The sequence below is a fragment of the Homo sapiens genome, chromosome 1 (assembly GCF_000001405.40).
Source record: "Homo sapiens chromosome 1, GRCh38.p14 Primary Assembly".
NCBI lineage: Eukaryota > Metazoa > Chordata > Mammalia > Primates > Hominidae > Homo > Homo sapiens.
This window is the reverse complement of record NC_000001.11, coordinates 239,284,868-239,301,432: the sequence shown is the minus strand read 5'-3', so window position 1 is coordinate 239,301,432 and position 16,565 is coordinate 239,284,868. Positions and strand designations below refer to the sequence as shown.

At 36.4% G+C, this 16,565-nt stretch overlaps 1 annotated feature.

Annotated features, from left to right (window-relative positions):
• Positions 13,790–14,084: a silencer, noted in NCBI's record as "tiled region #1169; HepG2 Repressive non-DNase unmatched - State 24:Quies". NCBI's record gives its function as "represses a minimal TATA promoter and a strong SV40 promoter by Sharpr-MPRA in HepG2 cells {active_cell/tissue: HepG2}" and the evidence as "EXISTENCE:reporter gene assay evidence [ECO:0000049][PMID:27701403]".

Genomic DNA, 16,565 nt, shown 5'->3' with positions numbered 1-16,565 from the left:
GGAGCTGGGAACAGGGGCATCTGCTGCATAGAGCGATGCTCCCAGAGCGATCTAAGAGAAGTAATTTGCAATCTGATTACAGTACAGACAAATCTTGAGAAGCTAGTAAGTCCTTTTTGATACAGGATTTTTAAATGAAAACACATTTTAGTGCTTTGTTCTTTGAGTCTTGCTGGCTGAGTGAATGTTGTTTCTTTAGATGTTACAGTGTAATGTGAACTTTTAATATGTGCGCTTAAAACGTAAAATGTTTATGTAGCTAAGTAGGTATTTTTTGAACCTCATAGTCAGCCATATATGTGAAAAAAATCATATGTATATGCTATGATAAAGAAACTAATTTCACTTAACATGCTATTGCCTTCAATTATCTGTGATATGATTTTTAATGATAAAAAAGTGTATATAATATGATTTATTTTTGTAATAACATCATTTGAAATGGGTCATTTTTTATTTTCAGATGTATCCCAATACTGTGTCTTTCTGGAGTAATGAAACTAAAAGATGCTATTTAACTCCAAATTCGTGTGTTATATTTATGTGTCAATGTATTAAATTTATTTGAAGTTTTGATATATTTGTCCCAGCTTTATAAAACTTCATTAAAAAAAAATGTACCACAGCTTGGATTTTTTTTTTCTAAAACACCACAAACACTGCTCAAAAACAATTTTCCAGCTGGGCACAGTGGTTCACACCTGTAATCCCAGCACTTTGGAAGGCTGAGGCAGGAGGATTACTTGAGCTCAGGAGTTTGAGACCAGCCTGGGCAAGACAGTGAGGCTTCATCTCTCCAAAAAATTAAAAAATTAGCCCTAAGTGGTGGCGCTTATCTGTAGTTCAATCTGCTTTGAAGGCTGAGATGGGAGGATTGTTTGAGCCTGGTAGGTCAAGGTTGCAGTAAGCTGTGTTTATGCAATTGCAATCCAACCTGGGCCACAGAGTGAGACCCTGTCTGAAATTAAAAAAAAAAAAAAAAAAAGAAACAAAATTTTCCATGACTTTAAAAAGTATGTATTCACTGCAGCTGGACGATACGCAAAATGTTTATAACCAAAATTTTTCTTTGTGTGTTTACTGAAATTCAATTTTGTTTCCTCATTTTCCTATTGCAAATAAAAACTTCAAGAAAAATAAATGTTCTGTAGATATAATAGCACAAATTCAGTTATCTTCAGATACTAGGTTGTTTTCTTTGCGTATTGGATTAGTTATAGCCTTATCGTTTATGAAAAGTAAATACAATCGTTTTAAGTAAAAGGGTTTTTTTTATATTTTCAGAGATTTTTATCTTGGTATTCTGATGAAATTGGTGAAAAGAAATTGTGCATATTTTGAAGAGTTTACTTTCATTATCGTATAAAACTGTTTTTTAACAATTTTTCTCACTTTTTTCTTATCAGTGGCCCAGAACAATTGTCTCATTCAGTCTTTCATTTATCTAATATGTCTATTATCTCACTGAAATTGTCCTGAAATTGTCCAAAAATTCTCAGAATACCTACGTTATCCCAGGTTGGTGTTTTTTCATGGTACTACATTATCTGAGTCCTGTCATTTCCTTTTTACCAAAACTTGCCCATCTTATATTCCAACACAACAGATAGTGTGTTATTTCTGCCTGCACTAAAGAGGTTACTAAAGAGTTCAAATAAATTAATGTATCTTAGTGCAAATGTATACAGGAGTCCTCCTGAGACAGTATTATCACCTTCAATTTTCCAACCTGGCTTCTGCCCAACAATAGTGACAAAAGATGTTAATACATGCTCATTTTAAAAAGTGATATGAAAACATTTTTAGAAACAGTGCATGGCAAGTAGTATGCTCTTGCTGTTACCTTTTCTCTAGTCAATTGCTATCTGAACTAATCTGACTAGAGAACACATTCTTTATAGCATTTCTACAAGTGGAGATATTCTCAAATATATACATACATACATACATACGTGTATATACATATACACATAAATACATATATATTTTTAGTTACACTATTTGATTAAGCCAGCATTTCCCTAGTGGCTATAAAGAGGAAAATATATATGTACATACATACATACATATATATACACACACACACACATACGTACATATGTACGTATGTATGTCTGTGTATGTATGTATGTATTTTCCTCTTTATATCCACTAGGGAAATGCTGGCTTAACCAAATAGTGTACATACATACATACATATATATGTATGTATGTGTGTGTGTATATATATGTATGTATGTATATGTATGTACGTATGTATATATTTTCCTCTTTATATCCACTAGGAAAATGCTGGCTGAACCAAGTAGTGTAACTCTAAAAATTGCCACTTGGAACGCACCATTTTGCCCAGAAAAGTAGATGAATGGATCTTTGAGAATGACAAAGGAAGAAACCAGGAGTTGCAATACACACAGGGCAAAGAAGAGACAAAGAAAATAAATGAGAATGTAATTGAGACTCAGGAGAGGAGGCTGTCATATAACAAGTTAATAATCAAGAAAGCATAGTGGAGTGGTCTAAGGTAGTAAATGCTGCACAGACTAAATAAGATTTACCAATGAGTTTTAAGAAGTTAAAGAAGTTAGTAGAGACTAGTGGAAAGAGGAAACATAAATTGATGATAATGGAGCAAGAGGTGACAAATTAGAAGGTATGACTTTAAATAATCTTCCATAAAGTTTGGGTATAAAAGGAAAGAGAGTGAGAGGGAACGCATAGCAGAAGGTAAACTCTTTTTTTTTTTTAAAGTATAAGATTCTAACTTTTCTGAGGGGAATGATCTAAAATAAAAGGTAAAGAACCCTAGGAAGAGAGAGAGAGGTTGAGCAGACAGAAATTGGGAGCCCATCAGGTCTGGAACACAGGTAAGAAAGCGATCCTCTTAGACAAGGAGAGCGATGTCACGGAATCCGAGGCTTCAGGGACAGAACACTGTCTGTGTGTGTGTGTGTGTGTGTGTGTGTGTGTGTGTTTGTGTGTGTGTTGGCGGGGCAGCAGGGGGACTGGAGTGGGGAGGGGAGTAGGAAAGGGAGGCAATTCTCTTAGAGTGGTTGCTATTTTTTTTTTTATGAAACAGAAAAAAAAAGAAATTGTGCTAAGTGTAAGAAAGGTTGTTTTAGAGTAGAAGTCCTAATAATATTAATTATAATTTAAAATGACCATTAAGGACAATAGCCTGACTAATTAGACTAAAAGTCCGAGGTAAACGTCACTTCAGGCTAACGTTTCCTTTCAAATCCTGTCTCAACCAACCATCTTAAATAATCCCTAAGAACATATTTTATTTTATTTATTTATTTATTTATTTATTTATTTATTTATTTATTTATTTATTTTGAGACAGAGTCTCGCTCTGTCATCCAGGCCATCTCAGCTCGCTGCAACCTCTCTCTCCCGGATTCAAGCAGTTCTTCTGTCTCAGGCTCCCAAGTAGCTAGGACTACAGGCACAGGCCACCACGCCTGGCTAATTTTTCTTTTTAAAAAAAATTTTAGTAGAGACAGGGTTTCACCATGTTGGCCAGGCTGGTCATGAACTCTTGATCTCAAGGGATCTGCCTGCCTCGGTCTCCCAAAGTGCCGGGATTACAGACTTGAGCCACTGCGCCCAGCCAAGAATACCTAAGAAAATATTTTAAAAGACAAAATTACAGAGAGAAAAACGCTATGAAAGCCATAGACTATGGCTCATCAGGGCTATTATTTGCTGGATTGAGAAAACAGTTAGTGGTCTATTTAATATTACACTGTTCTATAGTTTAGCAAAACCCACTAAGAAGGGGGTTGAGGAGGCAACTCTATTGACAACCTGTGAATCAATCAATATCTAGCAGCAAAACAGAAATGACATTAGCTCCTTCCAAATAAAATAACTTAATACATAGGTGATGGAAGACCTGACAAGCCAAAGACAGACAATAAAAGGACCCCAAATTTAGCCACAATCTGAAGCCACTGTTACCCGATGACTGCAGGGACAAGTAGAGATAATGTTAACAGGAACTGGGAAGATGGCAAGAGCGGAAAACATCCAGGTGACTTTCTGTTGGCAGTTGTGACATAAAGAAAGGTCCTATCCGGTGAGAACTGACATGACTGAGGAGATGCCAGGAAGGAGAGGGGCAGGGGTGGGAGTGACACTCCATTATTAGGCTTCTCCCCTCCTCAAGCTCTGCTTCCAATGGACTGAACCCATCCCAAAGTCAGAGGATAAGGGAGCATGGAAAATGTTTCCTGAGATGCAGAGTAGACAGGAGACTGGCAGGGAATGTCTGAGAGGAAACAGAGCATATCCTGCAGTGCAAGGTTCACAATGACTAGAAAGATGGGAACCTACTTTAGTAGTAACACCAGGTGCTTATTTCTGGGGTGGCCATATCCAGGTCATCCAGTTGCTCCCCTCAAATTGTTAGATGAAATCCAAACCAGAAACAAATAGGCAGAGTTCCAAACCCTGCAGAATCATGTGATTCTGGAGGTTTCCAAGCCCTAGAGACCACAATTCAGGACTATCAGGAAGCAAAACTTCTCAGAGACCACAACTAGTGACTGTCAGGAGGTCCGTCCCTCAGGTGAATTCCTTTCTTCAACAGCAGGATGGTCATTTCTCATCACTCATCACACTAATGTCTCCATCCTTCCCCTTTAGGGAACTTAAACCTGGCCTCTTCAAAGCTGTTTTTGGCTTTGCTAAAACTTGTACAAATTTATATGATAGGTTGCATTGCCTGTATAACTTTGTACATAATGGAAATAAAGAATGGTTTACACACTCTACTCTGGCTTTCAATGAGCATGAGTTGTCTTTCAATTGCTGTGTTAGCAGAAAACACACTCAATTAATTTTTTCCTTTTGTTTGTTTCCTGCTTTGATTAGTTTTATACCTGACTCCAGACTCTGGGCAGAAGGTTGCTACATGCTGTCTCAAAGGAGATCAAAAGGGAAGATCCATTTCATGCTCACTTGTATATGAGTTACAGTAGCATTCTTGTGTCTAACACCAATGTTCTATGAATTTAAATCTTATATCCTGGTTGTATAGCTGATCACACTGCTGAATCATTAGATCTGTGAGGGCATGTTCTCTGCTCAAGATATGATTGCTGATTGATTGACTAGCAATTTGTGTTAATGCTTAAACAGTGTCTTCAAATTGTAACAATGAGAAACAGCTATATATGGCAATTACAGTGTCCCTCTAGTTACAGAAAAAGCAACAAGTTTGTATATAATAAACCTCTAAAAAATAGAGTGGCTTTTGTCTTAATAATATGAGAGTCTGTACAAACTACAATGAATAGGTACAGATGGACACACCTTCAGTTTTATTCTATTAAAATCCTGAGAAAATGACTTTTGTGAAGTGAGGGGAAATATTTGGAAATGTTCGTGACATAACTTGACTAAAGTAGGGTTACATATAAATGTAAAAATTTTAAAAATGGAAGCATAACAGCAATTATGTCTCCAGTAACATTTAAACAATTTTATTCCTTGAGGACAAAATACAGTCTCTTCTGAAAGAAACTGGTGTATTCTTTTGGACTTGTTTAACAGAGACTTAAATATAAATGTCTTCTCAGCATAGTGGGTAGGTCAAACAGAAAAATAAGATTGAGACAAAGGTCAAGATAGCTGACAGAACCCATCTGAGGGGGTGGATCATTGTTATTTAAAAACGTAAAGAAAGTAGGGCACAGGGAGCTTGAAAAATGAAAATAAAAATTCAGTGCTTATGCTGAAATAAAGAATAGCATAAGCTGTCCAAAACAATTCTTCTTTTCCTAAATCAGACATGAAGACTAGAAAAGAGAATAATTGTACATTACTTTTGTCTTTCATTCATCTTTATTGTCCTTTTTCTCATTTTAACTTTGTCTTCTTTGCCCAGGCTTTCCTTTCCATGTCAATAAATGCTTACTCTGATTTTCATTTATTGTAGAAATGAGGTTAAGTCCAGAGAAATAATTTATGCACTAATTCATTCACTTGTTTTATACCTTTCCAATTTCTACAAATACTTCTTGAGTGCCTTCTATGTATCAAGCACTGTTTTAAGTGCTAGGAAAAGTGTGGTAAGTAAAACAGACAAAAACCCCCGCCCTCTGGAGCTTATGTTCTAGGGAGGAGAGAGAACCAATACATTAATTAAATAACTAAAATATATAATGGGCCACATGGTGATATGTTTTACAGAAAGACATAAAGTAGGAAGGAGGTAAAGGTGGTCAGGGGAGTTTCATCTCCCTAGAGACCATCAGGGAGGGCTGTTCTAGGAAGATAACATTTGAGTCAACATTTGGCAGCAGTGAGATAATGAACCATGCGGATAATTGGGAGTAGAATGTTCTAGGCCAAGCTTGTCCAACCCAAGGTCCATGGGCTGTATGTTTCCCAGGACAGCTTTGAATATGGCCCAACTCAAATCCATAAACTTTCTTAAAACATTACGAGATTTTTTTTGTGATTTTTTTTTCTTTTTAGCTCATCAGCTATCATTAGTGTATTCTGTGTGTGGCCCAAGACATTCTTTTTCTTCCACTGTAGCCCAGGGAAGCCAAAAGATTGGACACCCTTGTATCTAGGCAGAAGGAATAGCAAGTATAAAGGATTTTGCCTGGGATATTTGAACAGCAGTGAGGAAGCTCTAGTGTATCAGAGCGATACACAGAGGAAGAGTAAAGGTAATGAGCTGGAGGTGGGGTGTGAAACCCTGAAAGACCCTAGACTTTTGCAATAGGCTTACCTTTTATCCGAGTGTAATGTGAAGCCATGAGCAGATTTTGAATCACAGGCTCACATGACCTGCCATGTTGAGCACAGGCTGAAGAGAGTGAGGGCATCAGTTAGAAGACAGGTTGAGAAGCCTCTATGACAATCCGGGTAAGAGAGAACGGTGGTTTGGGCCAGGGTGGTGACAGTGGAGTAGGTGTGAGCTCTGCATAGATTCTGAAGACAGGGGTCAGAGAACTTGCTAAGGGACTGGCTATATTACAGGAGACAAATGAACAGAGCTGGAAATGACTCCAGGGATTTTAGCCTGAACAACTGCAGGAATGGAATTACCTTTAATGAAATGTGAAAGCCTGTGCTAGGAGAAGGTTTGAGAGAAGAGAAGACTCAGGGCTCATGTTGGGACAGGCTAGGACTGGGACATGCCAGTGGAAATGGCAAGTAGGCAGATAGATGTCAGAGGCTGGGGTTCAGGGAGATGTGTGTGCTGAAGATAAACATTTGGTGTTTTTAAAAATTTTTATTTTTCTTTCTAGTGAAGGGAGTCTCACTCTTGAAAGGAAAAAAAAAGAAATTTGGGGTCTGTCAGCATGCAAATGGTTTGTAAAGCCACGGAACTGGAAGAGATATTAAAGAAAGATGAGAGTGAATAAAATAGAACATACTTAAAGGACTCTCATACCTCATGCAGGACTCTCATACCCAGCAGCATGAATCCAGCAGGGGAGGTTCACCTGGACCAGAGAGAGGCGGATAAGCAGAGACCAGAGCAGTTGTAGAAAAGTTGAGAGCATGTGATGATGTCATGACAGCTAGCTGGACAGAAAGCGTTTCAAAAAACAAGGAGAATCAATCTTGTCAAATGCTGCTGAGAGTTAGAGTAAGATGAAGACTGAGAAGTCAGCATAGGTTTTACCATAAAAAAGAAATGAGGCTTGAGGGTAATTCACAGTCTAGCTGATTCCAACAGGCAAAGTTTTATGACACGGTTATGGGCAAAGTTCCAAGGTAGCACAAAGGAGGTGGACAGCAATTTGGACAGAGGGCAATGGTGAAAAGAGCAGAGAAATTTTGATACGAACTTGTAAGTGTTGACATGAAAAACTGTTATGATCTAAGGCAAACGTTTGAAAATATTGTGCAATAAGTGGCCAGGAATAAATTATTTTTTTTCTTAGAGAAAGTTAGTCTGGAAAATGTTTCTTTCTTTTAGATTTGTTGGCAGTTCTTTCATGAAACACTGTCTTAAATGTTCCAATATACTTGAAAAGGTGGGTAGTCTGCATAACTGCGGGGTGGTCAAGTAGGTTGATAATATTGGCCAATATTTCTATGTTCTTAATGATTTTCTGTCTATTTGTCCTATCAATTATAGAGAAAGGGTTGTTGAAGTTTCCAACTATAATTGTGGATTCTTCTATTTCCTCTTTCAGGTCTATCAGTTTTTGCTTCATGAATGTTGAAGCTCTGTTATTAGGTTCATAAACACGGGACTTTATGTTGTCTTGATGCGTTGACCCCTTTATCGTTTTGAAATGACCTTCTTTATCTCTGTTCATACTCTTTGCTGGGTAATATATGTTGTGTGATATTGCTACAGCCACTCTAGATTATTTTGGATTAGTGTTAACATACTGCATCTTTTTCCATCTTTTATTTTTAACTTTCTGTGTCTTTATATTTAAAATGGATTTTGGATTCTTGTTGGCAGTTAATAGTTGGGTCCTGCTTTCTTCTCCAATCTGAAAATCTCTGTATTTTCATTGGAGTCAGTAGAGCATTTATATGTCATGTGAATTTTGATATACTTGAACTTAAGTATGTCATTCTACTATTTGTTTCCTATTTTTCTCCAGTGTTCATTGTTCAATTTTCCCTCTTTGCTGACATCTTTTGAACTCACTGAGTATTTTTATGGTTCTATTATACGTGCTCCATTGGCTTTTGAACCATAACTCTTTATTGTATTATATTAGTGATTTCTTTTTCTTTAGGGTTTACAGCATACATCTTTAACTTACTCCAGTCTACCATAAAGTGATATGATACCACTTCCCTGTGAACTTTACAAGAATATACTCCTGCTTATCTCTTTCTTCTTTGTGATTTTTTTTGCTTATACATTTTACTTCTGATGAATGTTACAAAACTCACAATTCATTGTTACAATTTTTGCCTTAAACAATCAATTATTATTTAAAGAGATTTAATTAGTGAGAAAAAATTCTATTTATTCACATAGTGACAATTTCTAGTGCTCTTCTTTTCTTGTTGTAAATTTGGATTTCCAGGGGCTGTCACTTTTCTTCTTCCTGAAGGACTTTTCTTTTTTTTTAAATATATCTTACAGTGCAGGTCTGCTACTGCTGAATTATTTCCATTTTCTTGTTCTTAGAAAGTTTTTGTCTTTGCCTTTGGTTTTGAATTTAATTTGGTCAAATGTACATTATTATGTCGGTTGAAATTTTTTCTTTCATTCCTTTTAAGGTTTTGCTTCACCATCTTCTGGTTGGTCTTATTTCTACAAGAAACTACTCTCATGTGTGTTTTTGTTCCTTTGCATATAATTCAGTTTTTTTCTGTTTGCTTTAAGGTTTTCTCTTCATCACTGATCTTAAGCAATTTGGTATAGTTTCCTTCTTTATGTGTGTGTTTTTGGTAGGGGCATAATTTGAATACAGACAAGATGAAAATTTAAAAATGAGAGATTGAATATATTAGAGAGGAACAGAAGAAAAAGGAATCATCCATCATTGAACAGATACTAAGAGAAAAAGACAATTGAGGTCTTAGAGAGTTTTGAATTTAAGAGGGAAAAGAAAGCAGAAGAAAACAATCAATTTATTTAGGACTTTCCTGTGTACATTGCTAATTCAATAACCCATTGGCCTGTGATTACTAAGTGAGCGAAATTAGGTTCAGGGATTTATGTTCAGGTACTGTGTATCTAAATGAAGTATATCTAATAGTCTTTTTACTCCAATCAGTCAAGCACAGGAAGGGATTGAGCTTGAAACTGGATGCTTTCATTTTACACAGAATGAAAGGAAGTAAATGTAAATGAGTACCAAGAGTTTTATGACTGGAGGCAGAAAGAAATCAAAAAGCTCATATCAGATTTTATCTGCAGATGAAGATCCTGCATGTGTATACCTGGGGTCTTGGGGTGATGGATAGAGGATTTTTGATCAGTTATTACAGGAAATAGAAAAGATGACTGACTAGAAATAAATAAAATAATTATGCTTGTTCAACTTCTAAATACATTTAGGAAAAATTTGCTGAGCCCAGTGGCTCACGTCTGTAATCCCAGCACTTTGGGAGGCTGAGGTGGGTGAAGTGCTTGAGCATAAGAGTTCGAGACAAGCCTGGGTAACATGGAAACACCCCATCTCTACAAAAAAATATAAAAATTAGCCAGTTGTGGTGTCACATGTCTGTGGTCCCAGCTACTCTGGAGGCTGAGGCAGGAGGATTGCTTGAGCCTTGGAGTTTGAAATTTCAGTGAGCCAAGCTCACACCACTGCACTGAAGCCCAGGTGACAGAGTGAAGCTGTCTAAAAAAACAAAAAAATAAACAAATAAATAAGAAAAGAAAGAAAGAAAGCACAAGTATAAAAATAAAATAATTAGCACTGTGGACTATAACTGAAAAAATACATGAAAATTATGATTTGTGTATAGTATTTGCCTCTGCACTTCATTGTTGGATATAACTATTTTAGTTTTACCAAGAAATATGGTGGAAGCTTTTGAATTTATTTTAAAATTGCAAATCTTCTGATAAAATAGCAGATATACATCCATTTGGGACTGAAAATACAGGCTTTTTCTTATTTAATGCAATAACTTTTTTCTCAGATATCTCATTTTGAATTTTAGTAAATAAATTATAGTCCAAGAAGAATGAACCTTTTGAAGTATTTTGAAATCAAAAGGCAATTGACTTAAAAATATTTTCTCAAATCTATTTTTAAAAATTGATTTTCCTTCTATTCATGACCAATGATGCTTACAAAAGAAAATTGTTTTATTCAAATGTTTTAAATGAATATTTTAAATAAATTGAGACAGTGAGAATTCCATCTATTTGCGGAAATATACATTTATCCACAAAATAATGGCCTAGAAATGTACTAGAATTGAATGAATGTACTAGAGAAATTCATGATGATCCTTTAGTTTATATTATGAAAGAAAATAAATAAGCAAGCAAGTTTTAAAGTGTTGACTAGGGAATGAAATGTAAGAAATCACTAATGTTCTGTGTAATGTAGTAGGGAAGGAATAGGCAAACAGGGATATAAGTAAAGGCTTTACAGAAGACCTGGCATTTGAGTGCTGCCTCAGAGGATGATTAAGCTTAAATCAGAGTTATTAATAGGAAAAGAAGCTGACACACAATGAAAACAAGTAACACACTTATAAAGTGGTTACAATGTGTCAGGTATTTCCGAAGTACTCTGAATCTAACAGCTGAGGTAGGTACTGTCATTACCATAGTTTCGTAGGTAAGGAAATTGAGGGGAGCTAAGTAACTTGCACAAGTTTTCACAGCTAATAGTGATGAAGATTCACACTGTAACATAAAACATGACAGAATGAATGGATTCTTCTCGAATATTCTCGAAGGTAGAGATTTCAGGTAACTATATATAAAGTCTAAACATAAGCAACAACCTGTGAAGTAAACAGTACTTATTATTCCCAGGTTATATACTATCACATGAGAGACAGAATTGAAACAAGAATTCTAGTTTCAAGCTCTGTATTTGTTCTTTTTCGTTTGAATGTTGACCCATGTACCACTCAGTGGTTATTTAATTTCGCCAACAAATAAATCCTACATTTATTATGTTGTAGATATTCTCCTGGGAACTCAGGATTCAAGGTAGAATGAAATTTACCATTTATGAGGATCAGAGAAATAAATATATTACTACACATAAACTTAAAAAATACAATAATAATTCTGAAAAGGAACATAAAATGAAGCAATAGAGTGTGGCTGGAGCAAATTTAGACTGGATGTCTCAGGCAGGCATCTCCAGGGATGCGATGTTTGCTCTGAGAGATGAATCAGGAGAAGAAGGGATGATACAGACAAACAGAAGAGTCCAAGCAGGAAGAACATGATTTTAAGACTAAGGCAGAAAGCCTAAATGTGATCAAGGTGCAGAAAATGAGCCAGTGTGGCTAGAATTAGGGAAGGGAGGGAGAGTGGAAGGAGGAGAGGAAGCAGAGTTAGTCTCTCAGACCATATGCAACCTGGAGGCCACGGGAAAGCATTCAGTGTTATTTGTAATTCTGATGAGAAAGCTCTGGAAATTAGTCATTAAATGGGCAGTTATAGGTGAGTATTTCCAAAGGCATACATGCTAAGATTTTCATATAATCCATATAAACCACTTTTCCTGAATGCATTCTTCAGAGGCTTTTCTTTCTATAAATAGGAAATTCCAGAGCAATTAATATATCATTATAATCAGCACACAGAAGAAGAAAAACCAAAATGCAGTGGGATCTCCAAGCACTGGGAAAATGTAGAGAATCCATTAGAACAGTCATGTGCAATAATACAGACTTGCATAGTTCTGGAAATTCAGAGTTTAAACTCTAGTATATTGTGTGCACATAGATTCATAAAATCTTAATGTTAGAGCTCTAATGGAACTCAGTGATCATCTCATTTTATAAATGAAGAAATTGGAGCCCAGCCAAGTCACTCACTTGCCCAGGGTCATAAACCTCATTACACAGAGTCAGAATGAAATTATTCCTGTAAGTAAGATGCCAAGGAAGGGAAATAGAATAATCTCTCCTTTTTATTCATTGACTTTGCCAAAGCATTTCATTCTGTACTATAGTAATTCATTGAGGCTGAAGCTGGTATTTTGTACAACTCAATGATTATTTCATCTACAATGCTCCCCTTTTCCCTCTCTTGCCCTGGGGAGGCTGAGCATCTCATTCATTTACCCACTGAAAAGCAGAAATGCTGCTATTATTACTGCTTACATTAGACACTTTTTGTACCTGGGTCATCTTTGCTCGTCCACCTTGTTATTCTATGTTTGGTCTGACCGCCACTATGCAAATGCAACCTCACATACTATGCCTCAGCTGTATCACGTATTTCCTACTTTTTGCCCTGGGAATTCTCTGCTGCTCCCACATAGGTGCCTATAGGGACCTACTCAGGCATTCTGAGGTGAGACAAACCAGGAAGTAAAAAAAAAAAAACCCTTGACCAAAGAGAAAGGAGAGTTGGTGGATAAGTATGCCCTTATTTAATGACTAAGGTGAACAATTCTTTTTTTTTTTTATAGCATTAGGAGATATACCTAATGCTAAATGACGAGTTAATGGGTGCAGCACACCATCATGGCACATGTATACATATGTAACAAACCTGCACGTTGTGCACATGTACCCTAAAACTTAAAGTATAATAAAAAAAAAAGGTGAACTATTCTGAGGGCCATTTTTCATGGCTTGAGAAGTTGCCATTATTAAGTTTCTTTTGTGATTAAGTCATTTCCAAGAGAATGGGAGAGGAATCTGTAAACTGGGACAGTAGAACTAACCATGTCAGAAATGGACTGTCTGAAAAGGGGAGAGAGGTGGCAAAAGATGATCCGTCTTCTGTACTTGGTTCAGGTCAACGCATCGTGTCTCATGTGAGTGTGTCCAACTCAGGCCATATATGGGAGCATAACAGACACATGTCATTTCCTCTCTCAACATCATTTCTAATGTGGCCCCTAAGAGAATGGTATAATCAATGTGTGTTTTCCTTTTTGCATAACAAAGCATCTAATAAAATTTATCATGACATCGTTTGTGGATAAGCATTCAATCTATGAGCTATATGATAGTGCTCAACCAAATTTATAGTAGTTGGAATAAATGCATACTATAAATGTAGTTTAATGATTTAATTCTTTCATTTTAAAAACTAAAATCATATTACGTGCCAGGCAATAGTCTAAACACCGGAGATACAAAAGGGAACAAGACGTTATCTCTGCTCCCAAACTTATCATTGTTTAGTGGTGGACGTAGGTAAACAAACAAAAAAATGACAATTCCATAACAGTTTTAATGAGGAAATGGGAGCACAAAGAAAGAACACTTCAACAATCCTCTGAGTCTCAGGACAGGCCTCCCGGATGAGCTCAATACTCAACAAGAATGCAGGAATCTTGGAGGCGAGAGAAGGGTGAGGCCCTTCCCAGAAAGAGGGGAAATATTTTGCAAGCCTAAAAGAAATGAAGAAGAAACAATCAGATTATGTTTGTAGGGAGCTGTAATCATACTAGTGTCATTGGGGTGTAAATTTTGAAGAAAAGATGAGTTGAGAGGTGAGGCTAGAGAGACAGGCAGAAAAGAGATAAAAGTAAATGGGAGTGAAAGAATGATTAAGAGCAGAGCAGGGGAGAAAGAAAGGCTTTAATTTAAATGCAAAAATGAGTTCTTCGTAACATGGGCAATGGGAAGCTAAGCCATTGACAGATTTTTGAAAGGAAGAGTGGATGTAATAAGATATTAGTTTTAAGATGATCATTCTTATGGTTGTGCATGAGATCAGTTTGAGGAGGGTAAGACTTTTATCTTCATAAGAATAGACTGTGTACAATTTCAAGGGTAAAAGCTAGGGTTGAAGGCTGAATGGGAGATGCCAAGTGGAAAAGCAGAGAGAACAAAGGTAAGGAATTTGAGTGAGAAGGGAAGGATAGAGATTTTATGTCAATTAGATGAAAACTTAGGTGAGAGATAGGAATAAATAATTTTAAGTCATCCTTATGGTTTATAAAATTATATTTTAATTTACAAACTACACAAACACTTTATTGAATAAGTGATCAATGGAGAAAAAGACAAAAAATCACATAAATATTTTACCATCTAAATGTAACTGGTCTAAAAATATTGATCTATTTCAGTCTAACCTAACTTATGCCTATTTTATGTAAATATAATTGTAGTTTTTAAATATTTTTGGATCCTGCATGAAAGTACTATCCATATTGGTACGTAGTATTTATGAGAATAAATAGAAGTGATCATACAGTCAATTGGCTTATGGTGGCATCTAAACTACTTTGGGGATACAGACATGCAACATTTTACTGTTATTTCAATCACTGCTTTCAAGTCTTCTGTGTCAAATCTCCCTTCTTGGCTGGGTCCCAACCACCTTGTTGCCATCTAGTACTGATTCTGTAACTCTTCTCATTTTCTATGTTTGAAATTAGTGAGAAGTGCTTAAAATGGAGGGGCTTGGCATGCTCTGAACAAGTCCTCTCCTTTCTTGGGTTCCCATCCCACCAATCTCAGAGGCTGTGGAGGAGGGACAGGTTTTGAAAAGGCCAAGGCCTCTATGAATGAGTGAGGTCCAGCCCTCTGCTCATTGGTTGTCTTGCTATTCCTCCAATTAATTGTGATGCATTCTGTGTAGCAGCAGGTGCCTGAAGGTCAAGTCCGTAGTATGGGTTCTGGGTCTAGCTCTGTGTTTTTACTTCATTTCTTCTTCTGAATTCTGTTGCTGGATCTCTTTGCCATCTAGGTAGCACTTAGTTGGGTTAAGAAAAAAAAAAGTCAGCAGAAGCTCAACTACATATGTGTCTTTCAATTCAATGAAAAAAATCAAAGGCAGATCCTCAAACTAAATACATCCCAAATATATAAGTTGCTGGCTATGTTGAATACAATCAGTCACAAATTGACCTCTCCAGCTAAATCAGCTTAAAATCTTTGTAAAGAATAGACAAAAATACATTTCTCTCTTCTCTAAGGGGCAGGGGGTTGCCTAATTTGTATTCACACATTGACAATTTTATATGAAAGTCCAAATTGAATGAGACTCCTGGGGAAGACAGCAATGATGTTTTCATTTTGATATTACAGGGTCAAGAGACTTGAACAACTTGCAAGGAAAAAAGATGCCCTAATATTAAGGCTTCATGAAGCCATGCAACATAGTTTGGCTCTGTGACCCCACTCAAATCTCATCTTGTAGCTCCCATAATTCACACATGTTGTGGGAGGGACCTGGTGGGAGATGATTGAATCATGGGGGTGGGGTCTTTCCCATGCTGTTCTTGTGATAATGAATGGGTCTCATGAGATCTGATGGTTTTAAAAAATGGGAGTTTTTCTGCACAAGCTTTTTTTTTTCCTGCTGCCATCTGTGTAAGATGTGATTTGCTACTCCTTGCCTTCTGCCATGATTATAAAGCCTCCCCAGACATGTGGAACTGTAAATCCAATAAACCTCTTTCTTTTGTAAATTGCTCAGCCTCAGGAATGTCTTTATCAGTGGCATGAAAACAGACTAATGCAGCATGGGTAGGGAAGTAATTTTAAGGAGGATAGAGGTGAGATCCTCAGCCCATCTTGTGATTCTGGTTTGTAGATCACAGAGAAGAGATAATAAATTGTGATGACGTACTTAAGTCCTTTCTGGAAGGAAAGTTAGTAATACTTTAGTATTAACAAGCTACCATTGGTTAAACATGCAGCAGGCACTTTACATATATAATCATTAAATTATTCTGCAAGATGGATATCATTTCCATTTTACTGATGATGCTCAGTTAAGTAATTTGTTCAAGACTACAAAACAAACAAGGTCTGTATTTTCCTTTATATGATCCAGTGAAGAAAATATTTTATTTCTGTTACTATTGTATTTGTTATCTAAGTTTTAGTTTCCCCTTACCTACATCTCAAGATCTGTTTAGGGGAGATGATAGATGTGTGCATTCAGAAACGAATGTGTATTCAAAATATTTTGTTTCCGAATGTGTAATATTTATAGTAAACAC